Below are 24,022 nucleotides of genomic sequence, written 5' to 3' on the forward strand. Positions count from 1 at the left end.
CTGCCCCGCCATCAAGTTGTCAGAGTCATTCATCCAGGGCAGCATGGAGGAAGCCGCTGTTGACCGCTTCGCCCACGCCCCGGAGTGGCTCTGAGGCGCTCCTGTGGCCTGGGACAGAATGTTTCTGTGAACAGCAGCCCATGGCCAGGCAAGCACAGAACATCTCCCCTGGAAGACCTGCATTCAAAGGGCCACCAAATTAAACTCCCACTTCACACTGAGGGGGGGAAAGTGATAAGTAATGGGGCACGGGGTGCAGAGAGATTGGGCCTACAGGTGGAGGAGGCCTGCAGTGCTTCTCTGGGAGGGGCAGCCTGCTCCCCTGGGAACCAAGCCACTGTTCTCTCCAACACCCTTACCCCAGAGGACTCTGTGTCTGAGCTTTCTGAGCAATTATCAGCTTCCACTGCAGCTGCAGCAGGCACGTTGTTGGAGAGCCCAGCTGGGTTCAAGGACTCTTCCCTGGTGCAAGCCTGGATTGCAAAGACCATGCATGTGGGGGCTAGGATAGATGCCCTATAATTAGCCATGCACCCTAGTTATTCCCTCCCACACCTCTTTCCTGCCCTCCCCTCCTTTTCCCCTCAGAAGTGAAGGTGCTCATAGCGGTCATCAATGCCCTTACAGAGCATTTAGCTCTAAGTTGCATCATCTTTAACTTTCCCCAGGCCCCACCTGTGGGTCTCCACACCAGCCATTGTGAGGACAGGATGAATTCATTTGCAGAGGACAAGCACAAAATCTCTGGTAAAAAACAAACACAATGTACCATAGTAAATGGGAGCAGCTTTAAAAAAAGTACAAAATCCATTGGGGACCCCGTTGCCATAGGAACTGGCATTACAGCTTGCTTCCGATAATTAATGGAGGGTTTTGCTATTACAGTATTCTTGAAACTTCGCTTTCCCCTGTGCTACACTGCAGAATACAGTGTCCTCTCCCCATTCATAACTATTTCATGACCACCAGCTGCTGCGTTTCATCACTGCAGATAGCACTCGGCCTAATCCACCCCTTGCCAAATTCATGTCCTGTCAGAGAGCAACTTCCATTTCTTCCTCTTTCTTCTGCAGTCTTCATTTATCTGATTTGAAGTTCTTTACATTCCCAAACCCAGAATGGTGGCTTTAGACATCTCTTTCCTGTGCCTGTCTCATTTTCCTAAAGGTCTCATGGGCCTCCCCCAGGGGTGTTGGTTCTGGCTCAGGCCCTACTGCCCTCTGCACATCTGCTTTGATGGAGTCCTGGGAGGATACTGGGCTTTTGAATTCTGGTGCCTCAATGTGCTGGCTGAGCCTCTGTTCCCTCATGGTTAAGTAGAGATGCCACCTGCCCTGCAGGGTTGGAGAGAGAGAGCCAGATAAGATATAACACATGTAAAGTACCCGTCCCCCCATGGGTGGGCTCAAGTGGTCACAGTGGCTTCTGGTGTTGGTTTGTTCTCTTGTATCTCTTGTTTTTTTCTAGATAAAGTAAAATCCATAACTTTTTTTAATTGACAAAAATGTATATATTTGTGTGTACAGCGTGTTTTGATATTTTGACATGTAGAATGGCTGACCCAAGCTAATTAACCTGTGCATTATCTCACATACTTTTTTTGCAATGAGAACACTTAAAATCTACTCTTAGCAATTTTCAAGTATACAATATATTGTTACTAACTATAGTCACCATGTTGTACAATAGATGTCTTGAACTTCCTCCTGTCTAAATGAAAATTTTAATCTTTTAATCAACATCTCCTCAAGCCTGACCCCGGTAACCACCATCCTATTCTTTGTTTCTATGAGTTTGTTTCTGTGAGTGTAGATTCCCCATGTAACTGGGATCATGCTGTATTTGGCTTTCAGTGCCTGGCTTATTTCACTTACCTAATGTCCTCTAGGTTAATCCATGTTGCAAAGGACAGGATTTCCTTCTTTTTAGAGGCTGAATAGTATTACATTGTGTATATACATCATAATTTCTTTATCCATTCATCCATTGATGGATACTCCCTGTCTTGGCTACTGCGAAGAATGTTCAGTGAACATGGGAGTGCAGATATCTCTTCCACATGCTGATTTCATTTCCTTTGGACATATCCCCAGTAGTGGGATTGCTGGATCATACAGGAGTTCTATTTTTAATTTTTTGCAGAACCTACATATTGTTTTACATAATGGCTGTACTAACATCCCCAACAAATGTGCAAGGGTTTGCTTTTCTCCACATCCTTAGCCATCCTAGCAGGTGTGAGGTGCTATCTTATTGTGGTTTTAATTTTCATTTCCATGATGATTGATGATGAGCGTTTTCTCATACACCTATTGGTATGTCTTCTCTTGAGAAATGTCTATTCAGGTCCGGTGTCCATTTTTTTAATTGATTTACAGATGTTCCTTGACTTACAATGGGGTTATGTCCCAATAAACTCATTGTTCATTGATAACACCGTAAGCCAAAAGTATATTTAAGCCAGGCATGGTGGCTCATGCCTGTAATCCCAGCACTTTGGGAGGCTGAGGCAGGCAGATCACTTGAGCTCAGGAGTTCAAGACCAGCCTGGGCAACATAGCGAAATCCCATCTCTACTAAAAATACAAAAATTAGCTGGGCATAGTGGAGCATGCCTGTGGTCCCAGCTACTCAGGAGGCTGAGGTGGGAGGACTGCTCGAGCCTGGGAGGTGGAGGTTGCAGTGAGCCAAGATGGACCCACTGCACTCCAGCTGGGGTGACAGAGTGAGACCCTGTCTCTAAATAAATAAATATTAAAATTAAAAAGTGCATTTAATGCACCTAATTTACCCAACATCATAGCTTAGCCTGGCCTACCTTAAGTGTGCTCAAAACTTTCATTAGCCTATGGTTGGGCAAAATCATCTAACACAAAGCCTATTTTATAGTAATGTGTTGAATATCTCACGTAATTTATTGAATACTGTACTGAAAGTGAAAAACAGAATGGTTGTATGGGTATGGAAGTATGGTTTCTACTGAATGCATGTCACTTTCATATCATCATAAAGTTGAAAAATTGTAAATGGAAACATCATAAGTGGGAGACTGTCTGGATTTGTTTCCTTGCCATTTAGTTGAGTTCCTGTTGCTTTAACTTAAGATAAATTAAAAAGCTTCTTTCTCCTTGCTGCCCTAGTGGAGGGGCTAGCCAGACAGCACATTCAAGCTGTATGTCCCGGGATGATTCCAATGAAGGCTCTTCACAGGAACACGGAGAGAGGCCATGCCCTGACCCTGCAGACGGAGCTGTGGACAATGCTGTTTAAAGGTGACAGGGATGGTCGGGCATGGTGGCTCACCTCTGTAATCCCAGCACTTTGGGAGGCTGAGGTGGGTGGATCACCGGAGGTCAGGAGTTCGAGGTCAGCCTGGCCAACATGGTGAAACCCCATCTGTACTAAAAATACAAAAATTAACCCAGGCATGGTGGCGGGAGCCTGTAATCCCAGCTACTCGGGAAGCTGAAGCAGGAGAATCACTTGAACCCAGGAGGCGGAGGTTGCAGTGAGCCAAGGTCACGCCATTGCACTCCAGCCTGGGCAAAAAGAGTTAAACTCCGTCTTAAAAAAGGGACAGGGACAGGGACAAGTCCTGAGCTAGAGGAAGTGACAGGCTGATTCACGTGCATGTAGTGCAGAAACAGTGCTCAGCGTCACCTTCTCCCCAGGACTCAGAGCCTGGCGCTCCTCCTTCGTGCCTCCCCTAAGTGTGCTTCAAGGCTCAGTTAGTGAACATTAGTGAGCCTCACTCTGAGAAGTTAGTGAGCTTCAGTCTGAGAAGAGGCACTAATGGTGGGGGTGGAATGGAGCCTTCTGCTCTCCTGTTGAGGGAGCAGCATCTGGAGAGGATGGCTGGTGGCTTGAAGCCCAGTGCTGCGGCTGGGTCTTGAGTGCTGGCCTGTGGGTGACCCGGGGCAATTCCCCCCTGCCTCTGGGATCGTTTCCTGCTACCTCCCACAAGAGCACGAACACACCACGCTGCTGCTCACCACCAGGCCCGTCCAGCAAGCCTTGGGGCCTGTGATAACAGGGGGAGAGTCCTCCCCGACACCTCCTCAGCAGCCTGCTCTGGGGCAGGGTGGGTTGTCCCCCTTCTCCCCATTCCTTACCTTCCTCATCACCGCAGGGACTCAGGGGCGGTTGCCTTTTGAAGCCACGTCCTGAAGGCAGCCCTGAACACCCATCATCCCATGGTCAGTTTCTCTCACAGGGGACAGGGTCTAGGCAGATGCATATAGAAGACCCAGGGGCCAGAGCCAGGCGAGGTGGGTTCAAGGATGGGAAGAACCAGAGGGGTCAAAACTAGAGAGATTGAATCCTGACATGAAGTCTCAGGAAGAGTTAAGAGCAGAAGACAGAAGTCCTGCCAAGAGGGTTAGAAACTGTGAGATTTCCACTTGAAACGAGGAACTGGGAGCAGAAAGTGAGGTGGGATTGAGCACAGAAGGTCCAGCCAATGGGCAGGGAAGCAGGGATGCTTCATTGTCTCTGCTAAGGGGCTGGAGAGGGTCAAGCTGGTTAAAGGCATGAATGTGGAGGGACCTCAACCACTGAGGCTGCATTTCTCTTACTGCCTTGAGCCCCTCCTTCAAACCCAGCCCTGGTCACACATGCTGGCTTGGTGGTTGTCACTGAGCTCCAGAAACCTCCCACCCAGGTCCTCCCGTCATGGCAGTGGTGGCCAATAGAGACTCTGTTCCCTGTCCCTAGACTCCCCAACCTGCCCCCGAGAGTTCAGGACCCTGTATGACGCGTTTCCAGCCTTCTATGTGACTGTGGAGGAAGCCGATCCTGTGGAGGAAGCTGATCCAAGATTCGGTGCTCGCTCCAGAAGCCCCAGGGGCACTAGTGCTATCTGACATTCTTCTCTAAACCCCTTGACCGATGAGGCCAGGGACCTCAGCGCAGCCTCATCCTCCTGCCCCTGGGGACATTTACTGGAATCCTCTGCTGCTCTGATTCTGCCAGGCCCTGCCTGCAGGGGGTTCATACCACCCTCAAGGCACCTGGGCCCCTGGGTACCTACGCACAGGCCTGGGGGAAGGACCCTCTGCAGGGCCCGTGTGTGGGAGCCTCTCCTGTAAGTTCTCTCTCCTGGTCTCCTGCCCTGTTCTGGTTTCTGGGACACAAATTCAAACCCCTGCCCACACTCATCACTACTTCCTTCCCTGCCCATCTTTTAAATATTATCATGCAATAAAATATACATAATATAAAATGTGCCATCTTAGCCAGTTTTAAGGACACAGTTCTGTGGTATTAAGCACGTGCATGTTGTTGTGCAGCCATCACCACCACTCGGCTCCAGGACTTTTTCACTGTCCCAAACTGAAACCCCGAATGCATTAACACTAACGCCCCATTCCTCCCTCCCTCTAGTCCCTGGCAACCACCATGTCACTCCCTGTCTGTGAATTTCACAATTGTAGGTGCACATGTGAGTGGAATCACAGAGAATTTGTCTTCTTGTGCCTGGCTCGTTTCACCGAGCATAATGTTCTCAAGGGTCATCCATGTGGTAGCATGTGGCAGAATTCCCTTCCTCTTTCTTTCTTTATTTTATTTTATTTTATTTTTTTGAGACAGAGTCTCACACTGTCGCCCAGGCTGGAGTGCAGTGGCGCGATTTTGGCTCACTGCAAGCTCCACCTCCCAGGGTTCATCCATTCTCCTGCCTCAGCCTCCCAAGTAGCTGGAACTACAGGCGCCCGCCACCATGCCCGGCTAATTTTTTATATTTTTAGTAGAGACGCGGTTTCACCATGTTAGCCAGGATGGTCTCGATCTCCTGACCTCATGATCCACCCGCCTCGGCCTCCCAAAGTGCTGGGATTACAGGCGTGAGCCACCACGCCCAGCCTCCCTTCCTCTTTAAGGCTGAATCATACTCCATTGTCTGGATAGACCACATTTTGTTTATTCATTCATCCTTCAGTGGACATATGGGTTGCTTCCATCTTTAGGCTATTGTGAGTAATGCTGCCGGGCACATAGGTGTACAAATATCTGTTTGAGCCCCTGCTTTCAATTCTTTGGTTGTATACGCAGAGGTGGGATTGCTGGATCATATGATAATTCTATGTTTATTTTTTTGAGAAACCTCAATACTGTTTTCCACAGTGGTTGCACCATTTTACATTCCCACTGACTGTGCATGAGGGTTCCAGTTTCTCCATGTCTTCAGTACTTGCTATTTTCTGTTTATTTTTAGCTATGGCCATTCTAACGGGTGTGAGGTGGGATCTCATTGTAGTTTTGATTTGCATTTTCTTAATGATTATCGAGGTTAAGCCCCTTTTCATGTGTTTGATGGCTGTCTCCATTGAAGAATGTCTGCTCAAGTCCTCTCTCTGCTTTTTAATTGGGACGTTTGTGCTTTCATTGTTGACTTTTTGGAGTTGCTGCCTATTTTAAAGCTCTTTGTGGTAGGCATCCTCATGAATAAGCCCTAACAACCCCCAGCCACTCACCTTTGAGAGTCCTTTTGGAGTCTGACCTCTGCAGCCACATCTCCTTAATCGTGGTCATCTCAGCTGCTCTTGTTGCAACCTTCTCCGGGTCTCTCCTCTTCCCTTGCAGCAGGAGTAAGAAGCGCATGGTGTTTTCTGGTGCGGGCTCCCAGTGGTTCCCTTTATGCAGGACAGGTGATGTGCTATTCCTGGGACCTCCCCTCCTGCTTGGGGTTCCAGCAGCATCCTGGGTCAATGACCTCTGCAAACCTTTCACAGAATTCCTCTAACACCTCTTCCTGGGTCAGAGCAGAGAGCCCAGTGCCAAACATTTCATAATTACCGCTTCAAAGATTCTGCATCACACGCACGTCAGCGATGTTCCAGGGGCAGAGAAAGGAAGCGTGCACTGGAGGTGTCACCGGGCTTCATTACCGCCATCATAAAGATTGAGTACTTACCTGCCAGGTCGCAGTGTTCAGTGCTGGAGCGCGTGTGAATGTCTACCATGCGCTGCCCACCGGGCCAAACCCTAGTTCCCAAGGCCTTCCTTGAGTGACTTCAGCTCGTTTCTGGAATGTTTCAGTAATGCCACTTTCCAGCTCCAGGGAGACTTTCTGGAGAGTCAAAGCAACAAAGGCAGAGAAAGCAACAGAGAAAGTAGAAGGAGAGGAGGAAGAAATGGAAGAGCAACAGACTCCTTTTTCACTCTCAGACTTCCTCCTCTCTCCCACTCCGAGCCCCACACTCGTTTGCTTACAAGTTGCCTGCTCGGCTGCCCTGGGACTTGCTTTTCACTTGGATCTGAATTCAGTGGCTCCAGGCTCCACTCGGGCAGAGGGAAGCCTGGGAGAGCCCAAATGCTTAGGCTCTGACTTTCAAGGAAGATGATTTCCCCTAACATTGGGACATCTGATGCATTCGTAGGTTAGCTCCTCATCTGAGAGCAGCTGCCTCTCGGGGGAAGACATCTGTCCTTCAGAGCTAGCCTGGGGAGGGGGAGGAGGGAAGGTGGAAGGAGGGGAGGGGAGGGGAAGGAGAGAGCAGGGAGGGCAAGGACAGAGCACAGGTGAGAGGAACAAGGTGGAGGAGAGTAGGGAGACACTTGACACCATTTGGAGAGCAGCTACAGTGCCTCGCACACAGACACATCTAAAGACTGAAAGGCTGGCCCCAACAGATCTTGTGAAATGAGGGGATTTCTTCTTGGATTGCTGCCCACTCCTACCCCCATGTCACTGTGGAAAATAAGGCTCAACATGTCTCCTTTGGGACTCTACAAGTTTCTTAAAAGTGTCTGAGCCACCAGGTCGTCAAGCAGGGGATGTTGCATGGGGGGCCTGACCCTCCAGCCCACTATCCAAGGAGAGCTACTCAGTTTATATCTGTTCAATGTGTTTAAAAAGGACGTTCTGGGGCTGGGCTCGGTGGCTCATGCCTGTAATCCCAGCACTTTGGAAGGCCAAGATGGGCAGATCACGAGGTCAGGAGTTCGAGACCAGCCTGGCCAACATGGTGAAACCCCGTCTCTACTAAAGATTTAAAAAATTAGCCGGGCGTGGTGGCAGGTGCCTGTAATCCCAGCTACTCAGGAGGCTGAGGCAGGAGAATTACTTGAACCCAGGAGGCGGAGGTTGCAGTGAGCCGAGATTGCACCACTGCACTCCAGCCTGGGCAACAGGGCGAGACTCAGTCTCAAAAAATATATAAATAAATAAATAAATAAATAAATATGTAAATGCTTTAACATAAACACATAGATGACTGGCCTAGACCCCACCCCCACCCCCCACCAAGGACCCCTCTACCTCAGACATCTCCTGGTCTTCACCCTGCCCCAGGCAGACAGTGACAGATGTCCACTCTGTTAGCCACAAGGAACTGGCCAGGTCAAGCTGGTGCAGAGGGAAGGGCAAGTCCATGTTCCTCACACCAAGAACTGTTGCCCCTGGGAGCTGGGAGAAGTTGGAATTGATTGGAATGCCCATGGTGGCCTGGCTGGGCCCAGGGATGCTGAAATTCATGAAAAGGGGACCTTCTGGGGCCTGTTGTCAGTCAAAGGGGGTGAAAAGGGGCAGATGTGAATTTCATATAGAAACTTTCTAGAAAAATGACATTGATTTTTCTAGAAATGAAAATAGAAATGTTTCATAGGCCAGGCACAGTGGCTCACACCTGAAATCTCAGCGCTCTGGGAGCCCGAGGCAGGAGGGTCACTTGAGCCCAAGAGTTTGAGACCAGCCTAGGCAACATAGGGAGACCCCGTTTCTACAAAAAAGTTTTAAAAATTAGCAGGGCGTCTGTAATCCCAGCACTTTGGGAGGCTGAGGCAGGAGGATCACGAGGTCAGGAGCTTGAGACCAGCCTGGCCAGCATGGTGAAACCCCATATCTACTAAAAATACAAAAAAAAAAAAAAAATTAACTGGTCAGGGTGGCGCAAGCCTGTAATCCTAGCTACTCAGGAGGCTGAGCCAGGAGAATTGCTTGAACCTGGGAGGTGGAGGTTGCAGTGAGTTGAGATTGCACCACTGCACTCCAGCCTGGGCAACAGAGCAAGACTCAGTCTCAAAAAAAAAAAGCTGTGCGTGATGGCATGTGCCTGTAGTTCCAGCTACTTGAGAGGCTGAGTCAGGAGAATCACTTGATCACTTGGGCCCTTGGGTTCAGGGCTGCAGTGAGCCATGATCACACCACTGTACTCTAGCCTGGTCAACAGAGTGAGTCTCTCTCTCTCTCTCTCTCTCTACATATATATACACACACACACACATATACACACATATATATAAATTTTTTAAAAAATGTTTTATAAAACATAAATACTTGGTCATTTAACCATTTTCTTATTGCTCTCAATGTCTAAATATCTCTTGGTAGAGAAGCTGACTAGAAATCTGCAGAAACTCGGGAATCTAGTGTCAGCCTCTGAATTGGTGATCCTCAACACCGGCTGCACTTCAGGACCTCCCAATGGGTTGGTTAACACTTTGTTCAAGCCCCACCCATCTCCGAGTCTGGTTTAAAGTGGCCTGGGTGGGGGTGGGTACAGGGATTTGTTAAATGCTCACCAGGTGGTTATAATGGGCAGCCCCGCTTGAGAGCCATCAAGGCAAAGTAAAAGTTGCGTTAACTTCCAGCAGCCACGCCCCTTATTTATGAAAGGAGTTGAAAACCTTTTCCACACAAAAACCTGCACACGGATGTTTAGAGCCACTTTATCCGTATTTGCTAAAAGTTGGAAACAACCAAGATATCCTTCAGTAGGTGAGGGGATAAACTGGGGTACATGCAGACAATGGCGTATTACTTAGCGCCAAAGAGAATTGAGCTGCGAAGCCATGAAAAGGCATGGGGGAAACTTAAATGCATATTACTGAGTGAAAGAAGCCAATCTGAGAAGGCTGCATACTGTATGATTCCAACTGTATGACATTCTGGAAAAGGTGAAACTATGAAGAGTATAACAAGATCAGTGGTTGCCAAGGGGGGAGCGGGAGGAAGGGATGAACTGGTAGGGTACAGAGGATTTGTAGGGCAGTGAGACTACTCTGATATTATAATGATGGATGCATGTCATAATGCATTTGTCAAAACCCATAAAATGTCCAACACAGAGAGTGAACCCTAAGGTAAACCATGGACTCTGGGTGATAGAGATGTGTCAATGTTGGTTCATTAATTGAAACAAACATGCCAGTCTGGTGGGGGATGTTGATAATGAGGGGAGCTGTGCATGTGTAGGGGGGAAGGTACCTGGGATATCTCTGTACTCTGCTCAATTTTTCTGTGAATCTAGAACTGCTCAGAAAATGAAGTCTGTTTTTAAAAGAAAAAAGCTGTGGCTCTCTTCTCTTCCTCGTTCGACAAACAGCTCCATCTGCTCATGCAGTGTCAGCCTCATCCAGGATACAATGGTGAGAGTCTGAGTCAATGGATTTGGCCATATTGGATACCTGGTCACCAGGGCAGCTTTCAACTCGGCAAAATGGACACTGTCATCATCAATGATCTCTTCACTGGCCTCAACTCCATGGTCTACATGTTCCAGTATATTTCATGACAAGTCCAATGGCACAGTCAAGGAAAGAGAACAGGAAGCTTGTAATCAAAGGGAAGCCCATCTCCATCCTCCAAGAGCAAGATCTCGCCAACATCAAATGAGGCAACACTGGTGCTGAATATGGTGCAGAGCCCACTGGCGTCTTCAGCACTACGGAGAAGACTGGGGCTCACTTGAAGTAGCCAAAACTGTCGTCATCTTTGCCCCTTGTGCTCTTGTGCAGATCCATGTTTGTGGTGGGTGTGAACCATGAGAAGTATGAATTATCTTCTCGAGATTGTCAGCAGTGCCTCCTGCACTATCAACGTTTGGCACCCTTGGCCAAGGTCATCTATGACTACAGTCCATGCCACTACTGCCACCCAGAAGACTGTTGGAGAAACTTTGGCGTGACTGCTGCAGAACATCATCCCTGTATCTACTAGTGTGGCCGAGGCTATGGGCAAGGTCATCCCTGAGCCAGATAAGAGGCTCACAGGTATGGCCTTCTGTGTTCCCACCCATAATATGTTGGTTGTGGCTCTCATCTGCCATCTGCAGAAAGCTGCCAAATATGATGGCATGAGAAGATGCTGAAGCAGGTATCGGAGGGCCCCCTCAAGGGCATTCTGATCTACACTGAGGACCAAGTTGTCTCCTCTGACTTTAAGAGTGGCACCTGCACTCTTCTACCTTCAATGCCACGACTGGCATTACCTTCAATGGCCACTTTGTCAGGCTCCTTTCCTGGGATGAATTTGGCAGCAGCAACAGGGTGGTGGACCTTATGGTCCACACGGCCTCCAAGGAGTAAGACCCCCAGACCACCAGCTCCATCAAGAGCATGAGAGGAAGAGTGAACCCCCAGCTGCTGGGGAGTCATTGCCCCACTCAGGCTCCCCAAAGTCAGTTTCCATTCCAGACTCCTGGAGGAAGGACAGGGGCTTAGGCAGCTCCAGCTTGTCATGCACCATCAATGAAGTATGCCATCCCCAGCCAAAAGAAAAAGGTCACATAACCTAACATGGGCAACAGTCCTCTCACATGATTCATGGTATTGAGTGTTTGGTTAGTAGAACAGAATAGTGGTCCAGTTTCCAAAATTTCTAATCATGTGTATACTGATAAAAGTGAAATCATTACAGTTGGTCGTTGGTTGATGTGATGCTCTGGTGTCTTTTGATGCAAGTGCTGCCATAAACTTTTCCCTCTGGCCAATCCCCAAGACGAGGCTTCTGCAGAGGGACTTTTGATAAGAATAAGACGCCAAAGACATTGAGAATCTCCCAGTTCAAAGGAGCCCTCCCTAGCTCAAGGTTGCCTAGAATTCTAGCCCTCTCCTCCGAGGCTTTATGGGGCTGGTGTTCCTGGGAGTGTCCGTGTCACAGTGTGAGTAGCTATGCACCTAGTGGGACTGTGTTGCACCTGTTCCTGAGAGCAGGTGTGATTAGGAAACAGCAGAACGAAGGGCAACATGCAGGCACGTGGGGGTGAGAAGGCACTGGCACATCCCTCCCACCTGGGGGTGGGGCTTACTGTAGGAGAGGCATGGTCTCCAGAGGACCCCTCCCTTCACCACTGTGCAGGATGCTCAGTCAGTCCTGAATATTACAGCCAAACCCTAGCCAGGGCCCCTGCCACCTGAGGTAGTGGCTGAGTGTGTGGGGATGGAGTTCCCATAGCCTGCCGGCAAACTCTTCGGGATCACACACATCCTAAGAGCAAAGGAAAAGAATCCATGCTAGCCTATGTCCCTCTCTTCTCAAAACTGCTTCGGGAGCTTTAGTTCTTGGAGAAACCACACTTTTCGGATCCAATTTCAAGACTTTCCACATGTCCCTTGTAAATGAGGATGTGCACTTCTCGAGCCTGAAGAGTTTGTAAAAAGGCCACAATTGGTCATTCCAGGGACAGTGTCAGAAAAGCGGGTGGTCTTCCTGGGAAGCCAAGGGGTGACACACTCCTGCAGGGGTTCATTCTATGCATGACACATTTAAGTCAAAGCTCTCCCCACACAGGGTTCAAAGGAACAACCTCTGGGATATTTTGCAGACCAGCAAAGGGTTCCCATGATGTGGGCAACTCTCACTCACATCCTTGGAGGCATCAGCAGGGCTGGCTGGGATGCAGGCTGCCGCTTGTGCTGGAAGTGATATTCACTCTCAGAAGGGCAACCTGGATCACTTCTCCCTTCGGAGTGTGGTGCAAAGAGCTGGATGTCCAGTCATGAGAACTTCTGGGTACAACCCTATGGTCGTATCTTCATCTCAGAGCAAACGCAAATGCCCTGTGTTGCCTGCCACCCTGGAGGGTATGAGGATCAGAGGAGGTGCTTTGGAAACACCTTGAAACTACATAGAGCTTTTTGGATATAAGCTCGATGCTGCTTATCTCCCAGTGGCCCTTTGGGAGGAAATGGAATCACTGTTGAACCCAATGCAACTCTCAGAGAAGTCAAGACACAGGGTAGATTGGTTGTAGAGGCCCCTCGTGCCCGTCCCACACATCACAGATGTAATCCTTCTTTTGAGTTGCATGAGGCAGGTCTCTGTGGCTTCCAAAACAACGAATCCTCCAAGGTCAAATATATTTTTTAATTTCTCATCAGAGTTCTTTGAGAAAGGGAACTTTGTTTTCAGTGTCTCTTTTTGCAGAGGATAATTAATACTACTGATAAAATTGCTGGTTCTATGGGTAGACCTGTGATGCTGGGATCACACGACCCTGCAGGCCTTTGAGTCGCTGGAAGCTGTTGCCTTCCAGAGGGAGCCCTGCACCCCAGGGCTGTGCAGGAGGAAAGAGGGAGCCCATGGAAGTGGGGTCACATTGTGAAGGGCCAGCCAACCCCACGGACGGTCCTGGCTCCCCTGGAGACACATGACAACGTTCCTTATAAGTGGGCTTCTCCAGCTCAGGCAGTTGACAGTTTCAAGAAATCCGTTAGAAGAAACAGGCAGAGTTGTGATGCTGGCAAAGTTCTAGGGCTTTTTTTTTTCTTTCCCCGTTTTAACTGTTAAAATTTATCTCCGACATTGCACAAACGAATGAAATCAACAGCCTCTTATCACATCCCAAATCTGTCAACCAATGTCTACCAGCCACTTGGAGCCAAAAGCCTCTTAGCACGTGTGTGACTTGAGCTGAGAAGGGCAGGACAGGAGCGCAGGCAGCTTTGTTCTGGCACCGTCGTTCCCAAACATTTGCTCATTTAGAGCCCAGGAGGCAGCAGTGCCTCCACAGCCTCTGATCTCGGTTCTGCGGGCTACCAGACAGGGTTCAAGCACCTCCCTGACAAGCCTTCATCTCTTTCTTCAGTCACCAACCACCACCCATGGCCGTAGGGGCCAGTGGCCAAATTCTATGCTGTCCTCCTAGCCTTTCATGCATGCCCAGGTCTCCATGGGGTGGGAAGAGTTAGAGGTACTGCTGTGAATCCACAGTTGCCTAAAGTGGCTTGGGCTGAACCAGATAGAGAAAGAAGCCCAGCCATCCCTGGGGCACAGTCACCCTGGCACCCACCTTGGGCTGAGCACTTTCATGACTGGAAGCTTTGGAGAACAAGTCCTTGGGCAGTACCTCTGGCTGGGCTGGCTCCAAGAGTTTCTGATCCTGGACAGATCCCAGGGTGCACCTCTCCAAGACATGTCTGTTCCCATGACATCTGGAGGAAAGAGACATAAGACTTAACGTAAGTTTCCTTAGAGTTCATTTGAGTTAATCTATCTATGTATTCCTGGGGGCAGCACATGAAAACTACCAATATTAATAAGTACCACACATGGGGTATCTCCCATATGCCGGGCACTTTTTATACAGGCATAGCTGATTTTAATTGCACTTGGCTTTATTGTGCTTTGCAGAGATTGCATTTTTTACAAACTGAAGGTTTATGGCAACATGGCATCGAGCAAGTCTACAGGTGCTCACTTCCTGTCTCTGTCACATTTTGGTAGTTTTTTGCAATATTTCAACCTTTTTCATTGTTATTATATATGCTATACTCATCTGTAATCAGTGATCTTTGGTGTTACTACTGTAATTGTTTTTGGGCATGATAAGCCACACCCACATAAGACAATGAATTAATCAATTAATGTTGTGTGTGTTCTGACTGCTCGACTGAGGCTGTTCTCTCTCTCTCTCTCTCTCTTTCTTTAAGCTTCCTTATTCCCTAAGACACAACAATATTGAAATTAGGCCAATTAATAACCCTACCATGGCCTCTAAATATTCAAGTGAAAGAAAAGTGGTATGTCTCTCAACTTTAATCAAAAGCTAGAAATGATTAAGCTTAGTGAGGAAGGCATGTTGAAAGCCAAGACAGCCTGAAACCTAGCCCTCTTGTGCCAAACAGCCAGGCTGTGAAAGCAAAGAAAAATTTCTTGAAAAAAATTAAAAGTGCTACTGCAGTGAACACACGTATGATAAGAAAGCGAAACAGCCTTATTGCTGATATGGAGAAAGTGTGCGTGGTGTGGATAGAAGAGCAAACCAACCGCAATGTTCCCTTAAGCCAAAGCCTAATCCAGAGCAAGACCCTATCTCTTTGGTTCTATTAAGGCTGAGAGAGGTGAGGAAGCTGCAGAAGTGAAGTTGGAACCTAGTAGAGGTTGGTTCATAAGGTTTAAGGAAAGAAGCCATCTCCGTAACATCAAGTGCAAGATGAGGTGGCAAGTGCTCCAGATCTTGCTAAGATCATCGATGAAGGTCACTACACTAAACAACAGATTTTTCATGTAGATGAAAGAGCCTTCTACTGGAAGAAAATGCCACCTAAGACTTTCATAGCTAGAAAGGAGAAGTCAATGCCTGGCTTCAGAGCTTCAAAGGACAAGCTGACTCTCTTGTCAGGGGCTAATGCAGCTGGTGACTTGAAGTTGAAGCCAGTCCTCATGTACCATTCAAAAATCCTAAAGCACTTAAACTTATGCTAAATCTACTCTGTCTGTGCTTTATAAATGGAACAACAAACCTTGGGTGTCAGTACATCTGCTTACATCATGACTTACTGAATATTTTCAACCCACTGTTGAGACCTTCTGCTCAGAAAAAAAAAGATTTTTTGAAAATGTGACTGCTCATTGAGTACCAGGTCACCCAAGAGCTCTGATAGAGATGTACAAGAAGATGAATGTTTCCATGTCTGTTAGCACAACATCCATTCTGCAGCCCAGGAATCAAGGAGTCATTTTGACTTTCAATTCTTATTATTTAAAAAATACATTTTGTAAGGCTATAGCTTCCACAGATAGTGAATCCTCTGATGGATCTGGACAAAAGAAATTAAAACCTTCTGAAAATAATTCACTATTCCAGGTGCCATTAAGAACATTCATGATTCATGGGAGGAGGTCAAATGCCAACATTAACAGGAGTTCGGAAGAAGTCGATTCCAACCCTGGATGCCTTCGAAAAGCTCAATTGAGACTTTGGTCAATTTACCATAGGAAGTCACTGCAGATGTGGTGGAAATAGCAAGAGAACTATAATTAAAAGTGGAGCCCAAAGATGTGACTGAATTGCTGCAATCTCATGATGAAGTTTAAATAGGTGAGAAGTTGCTTTATATGGATGGGCAAAGAAAGTGGTTTCTTGAGACGGAATCTACTCCTGGTGAAGATGCCATGAACATGTTGAAATGACAACAAAGGATTTAGAATGTTACGTCGACTCAGTTGATAAAGCAGTGGCAGGGCTTGAGAGGATGGACTCTAATTTGGAAAGAAATTCTACTGTGGGTGAAATGCTATCAAACAGCATCACGTGCTACAGAGACATCTTTCGCGAAAGGAAGAGTCAATTGCCAAGGCAAACTTCATTGTTGTCTTATTTTAAGAAATTGCCACAGCCGCCCCCACCTTTGGCAACCACTACCCTGATCAGTTAGCAGCCATCCACAGTGAAGCAAGACCCTCCACTAGCAAAAAGATTGATTCACTGAAGGCTCAGATGAAGTCTAAGACGTCACCACCCAGCACCTCCTTGTCCTCACCCTTAGCAGGCTGAGCCCCGAGGCTGCCTCTGAGGGAAACACAACACACTGGTGTGTCTGTGCTGCTGGCACCCCACATCAGACACACACACAGACAGCCCCATGGGAGGCACAGACCCGATGGGGAGGCCTGGTGGACAGCACAGGAGAACTCAGCCAGCCACGTTCGTTGAGCTCTTATTGCAACCCCAGCCCCAGGCTACGCCCTGAAAGGGTTTGAGAAGAGACAGAGGCGGATGATCCAGACTTAGCCTCCTGAAGAATGGATGAGCAAGTGCTTACCTGTGTTTTAAGGGTCCCCAGGATCTGTTTTAATTAAGGATGATAAGGCACACAGACACAAAAATGACTCTCATGAAGAAGAAGCTTATTCTGCTCATACATTCCTAGAAACAGGAGGCCCAGCACAGCACACGGGGCCTCATAGGAGACACTGGGCCAGTCAGGAACAGAGGGAGACGGAGGAACTGTGGGCTGGAGCCTTTTTATGGTTTCCACGGGAGGAGTGGGTGAGCGGAGCACACAGGCTTAGGATTGTCTAGTTTAATTTCAGGGCTCTGGGGCAGATGACTATCCCTAATGTCTGGCAATGGCCCTGGGGTGACTAAAGCAGGTGGATGGATAGTAGCCCTCGTGTGAGAGCCTGATAGGGAAGGTGGGGCAGTCCCCCCAGAGTCAGCAATGCCCCAGATGTCAAAGTATCATGAATGAATAGAGAAAAGTAAAGACATGGGTAGTTCAGTGCCTGAACACCCATCAGGGCAGAGGTCTGCCCTAGGCAGTGGATGTCCAAGAAAGCACAATAATGCTCACATATTTAAAACATAAGTCATATCCACGATAATACATTTTTGGGATGATAAACCAATGTTAACCTCATCCAAAACTTCCCTCACAGACATGTCCGGAATAATGTTTGACCCAATACGTGGGCACCCAGTGGCCCAGCCAAGATGACATGTTAAATTGTCCATCACACTATCTTAATGTTTCACAGTTTCCTGGAGCTTAAAACGTCAGATATTGACCTCAGTACCTCCCCCGTCTCTCAGCACAAAACCCTGCACACTCTGCCTTCTACAACACATCTCAGACCCATGCCCACCTCTCAGCCCCACCAGGCCTGGCTTGCTTTGGGTCTCATGACATCCTGAGTTCCAACCACTGCCTGTGTGGCCTCAGGCCAGCAGCATTTCCTCCCTGCACTTTTCCCCACATGACACCTTTCTGTCTCTCTGATGTCAGGCTCTTGCCTAAAATCTGTCTGCGGTCTCCTCTCAGGGTGAAATTTCCACTCATGAGCCTGTCACGGAGGCCTACCTAACAGAGCCCTGACCTGCCCCTCCAGGCCCATTTTATCTTCCGCCCCAGGAGCCACCTGCAGATCTGAACACCTCTGGCCTCTTTCTACCTCTGTGCTGCACCTTCCTTCCCCTCTGTCTGCCTCCTCCCTCGACTAACCCCAGACCCACTAAACACTCACAGCCATGTGAACTGAACTCACCACACACATATCTCATTTCTACGGTGTGTGTTTGAAAGTTCCCCCTTTGCCTTCCTTTGATACTCCAGTAGGTAGGAGGAGTATCTCATTACTGTTGGTAGCAGTGGTATTTTGGGACCCCCCAGTTGGCTTCCACTGACAACACTTCTGCTGGGCGGGGGAGGGGTGCCTCATTACTGCTCCCCATGTGGTCTCTAATGTCACCATGGGAGGTGTGAGGCCTCATTATCGCTGGATGGTGATAAAAATTCCCATTTTCCACGTAGTCTTCTCTGATACCACCTATGTGGTTTGAATGATGGTGGCCCCTCCAAAATTCGTGTTGAACCTTAATCCCCACTGTGGTAGTATTAAGCGGCGGGGCCTTTTGGAAAGTTATTAAGTCATGAGGACTCTTCCCTCATGAATGTATTAGGGCCCTTATAAAAAAGGTTTGCTGAAGTGGCTTTGTGCCTGTAATACTGCATCAATTTATGCCACCATAATCATACTCTGAGAAGGAATTAGTGAATAAACTTTCCCTACCTTGTTTACAAAGATAATATGTAGTTGTTGTAGCAAATTTAAACAAAAAAAGAAAGTAAAATTACCCTAATGTCTACCAACCAGAAAACACTACTGTTGATATTTTGGTATACATCCTCCCAGGTTTCCATATATACATAGTGATTGTTCATATATAGGGAATTACACTATTCATTCAGAAAGTATTGACCGCCTAGTATGTGTCTGGCACTGTTTTAGTCACTAGGAATGTAATGGTAAATGAGACAGTGTTAGCTGGGCGCAGTGGCTCACACCTGTAATCCCAGCACTTTGGTAGGCCAAGGCAGGCAGATCGCTTAAGCCCGGGAGTTCAAGGCCAGTGAGGGCAACATGGTGGAACCCCTTCTCTACAAAAAATACAAAAAATTATCTGGGCCTGATGGTGTGCACCTGTGGCCCCAGCTACTCAGGAGGCTGAGGTGGGAGGATTGCTTGAGCCTAGGAGGTGGAGGCTGCAGTGAGCTGTGATTGTGCTGCTGCACTCCAGCATGGGTGACAGAGTGAGACTCTGTCTCAAAAAAGAGTGTGTACACAGCCAGAGCCATATAAAATACAGGCACAGATCACTCTGCACCTGTCATCTAAAAAGACACATCTGGCTGGGCGCAGGGGCTCACCAGCACTTTGGGAGGCCCAGGTGGGCTGATCACCTGAGGTCAGGAGTTTGAGACCAGGCTGGCTAACATGGTGAGACCCTGTCTCTATTAAAAATACAAAAAATTAGCCGGGCATGGTGGTGCATGCCTGTAATCCCAGCTACACGGGAGGCTGATGCAGAAGAATTGCTTGAATCCGGTAGGTGAAGGTCTCAGTGAGCCAAGATTGCGCCACTGCACTCCAGCCTGGGCAACAGAGTGAGACTCCATCTCAAACGAAAAAAAGAAAGAGAAAAAAAAAAAGACACATCTGTAGAAACCTACCCTAGTGCTGCCTCTCCCTCCCACTCACAAACCCAGGAATAAGTACTGAATGAACAATCCCACCTACAAAATAGTATTTCATTTGTTAAAATAATTAGAGATATTTATAACATGTATTATTCTACTAGCTGTACTTTATCATGTGTCATCACCTCCGAACACCCAGAAGCCTAAGGTGTTTCAAAACAAGGGACTTAATTTCATCCACTAGCAACACAGCTGTGTTAAGTGGAACTACAGTATAATCTGGAGTGTTTTCTAAAAACAAATAGAACCATTCCTTTTATGCTTTTCTGATTTCTCCAGTAAAGCGTTCATTAATGAGTTACAGCTCAAAGAGATGGCTTAAGAACATCAGTTGGCCTGGTGCAGTGGCTCACGCCTGTAATCCCAGCACTTTGGGAGGCCGAGGCAGGCGGATCATGAGGTCAGGAGATCAAGACCATCCTGGTTAACATGGTGAAACCCCGTCTCTACTAAAAATACAAAAAAAAAAATTAGCCAGGTGCTGTGGTGACGGGTACCTGTAGTCCCAGCTACTCAGGAGGCTGAGGCAGGAGAATGGCATGAACCTGGGAGGCGGAGCTTGCAGTGAGCCGAGATCACGCCACTGCACTCCAGCCTGGGTGAAAGAGCGAGACTCCGTCTCAAAAAAAAAAAAAAAAAAAAAACCATCAGTTGGAGAGAGTCCTTCCTCCTTTACAAATGCTGCCAAAGGACATTGGGTTTTGAATTTAACAACCCAAAAATGTGTCAAAAATGTCACTTTTTGTGGGGGAGGAGCAGGGCTTCCTGTTTGCTACTATAGAGACTGGTGTGGAATGCATGGAGCTGCTAACATAGGGGTTGCTTAACTATGGCCTGTGGGCCAACTCCAGTTCACCATCTCATTTTTAAAAATTTGTCACAAACATCTTCACTTCAAAATACCTAGTACTAGATATTAAAATATGGACTTAATATATCCACTCTACACACAGCTGTTTGTAGAATGAAGTGCACATTGGGGATAATGGCTATAATCCGAATATGGACATTTTGGTTCAGAACACTTCCCAATGGGCAAAGTACAGATATGTTATACTACAGAGGTAGATTACAAATTTCATTTCTAGAAGCAATGTTTGGGGCTGGGCATGGTGGCTCACACCTGTAATCCCCACACTTTGGAAGGCCAAGGTATGAAGATTGAGCTCAGGAGTTCAAGACCAGCCTGGGCAACAAAGTGAGACCCCTGTTTCTACAGAAAAAAAATGAGCTGGGCATGGTGATGCCCATCTGTGGTCCTAGCTACACAGGAAGGTGTAGTGGGAGGATTGCTTGAGCCCAGGAGGTTGAGGCTGCAGTGAGCTATGTTTGTGCCACTGCACTCCAGCCTGGGCACCAGACTGAGACCCCTCTCAAAAAAATAAAAAATAAAAGCAATGTTTATTGGGTAAACATGGACATAAAGATGGCAACAGTAGACAGTAGGTCTATCAAGTACTATGCTCACTACCTGGGCAATGGGATCAACTGTACCCCAAACCTCAGGACCAACACAATGTACCTATGTAACAAATCTGCACGTTCCCCTTCAATCTAAATGTTGAAGGTTGGGCGTGGTGGCTCACGCCTGTAATCCTAACACTTTGGGGAGGCTAAGGTGGGCAGATCACTTGAGCCCAGGAGTTCGAGACCAGCCTGGGCAATATGGTGAAATTCCGTCTCCACCAGAAAAATACAAAAATTAGCCAGTCTCATCACCTGTTCTCAAATAAATATGTTGACATTATTTAAAAATTTTTAAAAAAGCAATGTTTAAAAGATTTTCTTCTGGCTGTGTGCAGTGGCTCATGCCTATAATCCCAACACTTTGAGGGGCCAAGGCAGGTGGATCACCTGAGGTCAGGAGTTTGAGACCAGCCTGGCCAACATGGCAAAACCCTGGCTCTAGTAAAATACAAAAATTAGCCAGGTGTGGTGGCAGATGCCTGTAGTTTCAGCTACTCGGGAGACAGGAGAATCACTTGAACCTGGGATGCAGAGGTTGCTATGAGCTGAGATCACACCATTGCACTCCAGCCTAGGTGACAAGACCAAAACTCTGTCTCAAAAAACAAACAAACAAAAAAGACTTTCCTCTGAATTTAACCAACAGTATCCTAAAATATATTTGCTAACTCGATATTTGTCATGAAATTAGAACATATACTTTTATATACCCTATGTATACAGCAACATTAAATGTGTCATATGAAATTAGAATATATACTTCTAATAAATAAACGTGCATAATTCCCTTCTCCCTATCCTCCAACCACTCAGAGAAGAGCATAGATTAATGTAATTTTCAGTGGTTTAACATCCTCCCATCCAAGTACTAACCAGGCACGACCCTACTTAGTTTCCAAGATCAGATGACATCAGGCATGTTTAGGGCGGTACAGCTGTAGGTGGTTTAGCACTTTCTATTAGGGAGACAATCTTTCTAAAGCAATGCTCTATATCCACGGGTTCTGCATCTGCAGATTCAGCCAACCATGGCTCAAAAATATTCAGGGAACCCTTCACCCAAATAACAATGCAATAAAAAATACAAATAAAAAGTCGGGTGCGGTGGCTCATGCCTGTAATCCCAGCACTTTGGGAGGCTGAGGCGGGCGGATCACCTGAGGTTTGGAGTTCGAGACCAGCCTGACCAACATGGAGAAACGCTGTCTCTACTGAAAAAAAAAAAAAAAAAAAAAAAAAAAAAAAAAAAAAAACCAAAATTAGCCGGGCATAGTGGGACGTTTGTAATCCCAGCTACTTGGAAAGCTGAGGCAGAATTGCTTGAACCTGGGAGGCAGAGGTTGCGGTGAGCCAAGATTATGCCATTGCACTCCAGCCTGGGCAACAAGAGCAAAACTCTGTCTCAAAAATAATAATTATAATTATAATAATAAAAAATATAACTCCTATATGTATTAATAGCATTTACACTATATTAGGTATTATAAGTAATCTAGAGGTGATTTAAAGTATATGGGAGGATACGCATAGATTACATGCAAATACTAGACCATTTTATTTACTTACAGGATCTTGCTCTCTTACCCAGGGTGGAGTGCAGTGACTCCATCACTGCTCACTGCAGCCTCAGCCTCCCGGGCTCAATTCATCCTCCCATCTCAGCCTTCCGAATGGTTGGGACTACAGGCGTCCACCACCACGCCTGGCTAATTTTTTTGTTTTGTAGAGGCAGGGTTTCACCATGTTGCCCAGGCTGATCTTGAACTCCTGAGCTCAAGTGATTCACCTGTCTCGGCCTCCCAAAGTGTTGGGGTTACAGGCGTGAGCCACTGTGCCTGATACTAGGCCATTTTATATCAGGGACTTGAGCATCTGTGGATTTTGGTATCTGTGGGAGGTCCTAGACCAATCCCCACGGATATCAAAATCCGAGGATGCTCAAGCAGACCTCAGTATCCCCATGGATACCAAGAGATGACTGTATTGAAAATATTTTTCAATATTTTCAATATTTTTCAAACACTACTCCACATCTATTTTTAATATGTGGTGAGCACATCTAAACACGTAGAAAAGCTAGATACAGGCATTTGAATGAAGGACCTAAGTTTAACATTGTATCCACAGGAGTGCTGAGTGAAGTTTATCATTGTATCCACAGGAGTGCTGAGTAATAGCACGCCTGTGGATCAATGCTTCTAAATGCACATTCTGGCGGGAACCTTTCCCCTCCTTCACTGCCTTTTGCCCTTCCTTCAACCCATGAAACGAACGAGGGCATGAGTCCAAGAAATGCTGTAAAAATTGCATTCCCGTAAGTGATTTCCAGAAGGCAATGTTCCTTTCCAGTGAATCTTAACAAAAGGGTTGGAAAACAAGTTTTTCTCATTTTACTTTTAGCATCGTTGACAACCTCTCCACATCTAGAGAGGCTCTACATGTTGCAAATAATTCACATTTATTTTAGAAGGTTGCGGTAAAAACTTAACAGCAGCTGGTCCACATTATATGCACAGGATCATAGTTGGTAAATCTTCTAAATAGAGGGTTGTCACTTCCGGTGGCTGAATGAGACAAACCATAAGCCATCATTTCTCACTCCCTCTATCAATTAACACCCAGAGGGGTGTTGTACCTGTATGCCTGTACCCCACACAGGACCACTGCCTGGAAAGGCAGGATGCCTGTGGCTCTATTTCCACTACTCACCCATTCCCTGGAGTAGGCGCTCAATTAATAGGCTGAGTTTAACACACAGGTACACAGCATGGATACTGTAAAACTCTTAAGTGGGATCACATTATATGCAGATTGCAGATTTCAGCAATTTGACTTTTTTTTTTTTTTTGGAGACAAGAGTCTTGCTCTGTCACCCAGGCCGGAGTACAGTGGCACGATCTCGGGTCACTGCAACCTGTGCCTCCTGGGTTCAAGTGATTCTCCTGCCTCAGCCTCCCAAGTAGCTGGGATTACAGGCACCCACCACCACACCCGGCTAATTTTTATATTTTTAGTAGAGACAGGGTTTCACCATGTTGGCCAGGCTGGTCTCGAACTCCTGACGTCAAGTGAT

General features: G+C 47.1%; 3 pseudogenes across 1 annotated transcript in view; 2 read left to right on the top strand and 1 right to left on the bottom strand.

Annotated features, from left to right (window-relative positions):
* MIPEPP3 (mitochondrial intermediate peptidase pseudogene 3) overlaps positions 1–24,022 on the top strand; it is a 94,799-nt pseudogene that overhangs the window by 49,883 nt on the left and 20,894 nt on the right. The window contains exon 3 of the transcript NR_046461.1: positions 3,141–3,272. The product of NR_046461.1 is annotated as a mitochondrial intermediate peptidase pseudogene 3, transcript variant 2 (transcript). The remainder of the gene's footprint in view (positions 1–3,140; positions 3,273–24,022) is intronic.
* GAPDHP52 (glyceraldehyde 3 phosphate dehydrogenase pseudogene 52) lies at positions 10,369–11,304 on the top strand (annotated as a pseudogene).
* On the bottom strand, positions 21,783–21,892 carry RNA5SP25 (RNA, 5S ribosomal pseudogene 25; annotated as a pseudogene).

The sequence above is a fragment of the Homo sapiens genome, chromosome 13 (genome assembly GCF_000001405.40).
Source record: "Homo sapiens chromosome 13, GRCh38.p14 Primary Assembly".
Classification (NCBI taxonomy): Eukaryota; Metazoa; Chordata; class Mammalia; order Primates; family Hominidae; genus Homo; species Homo sapiens.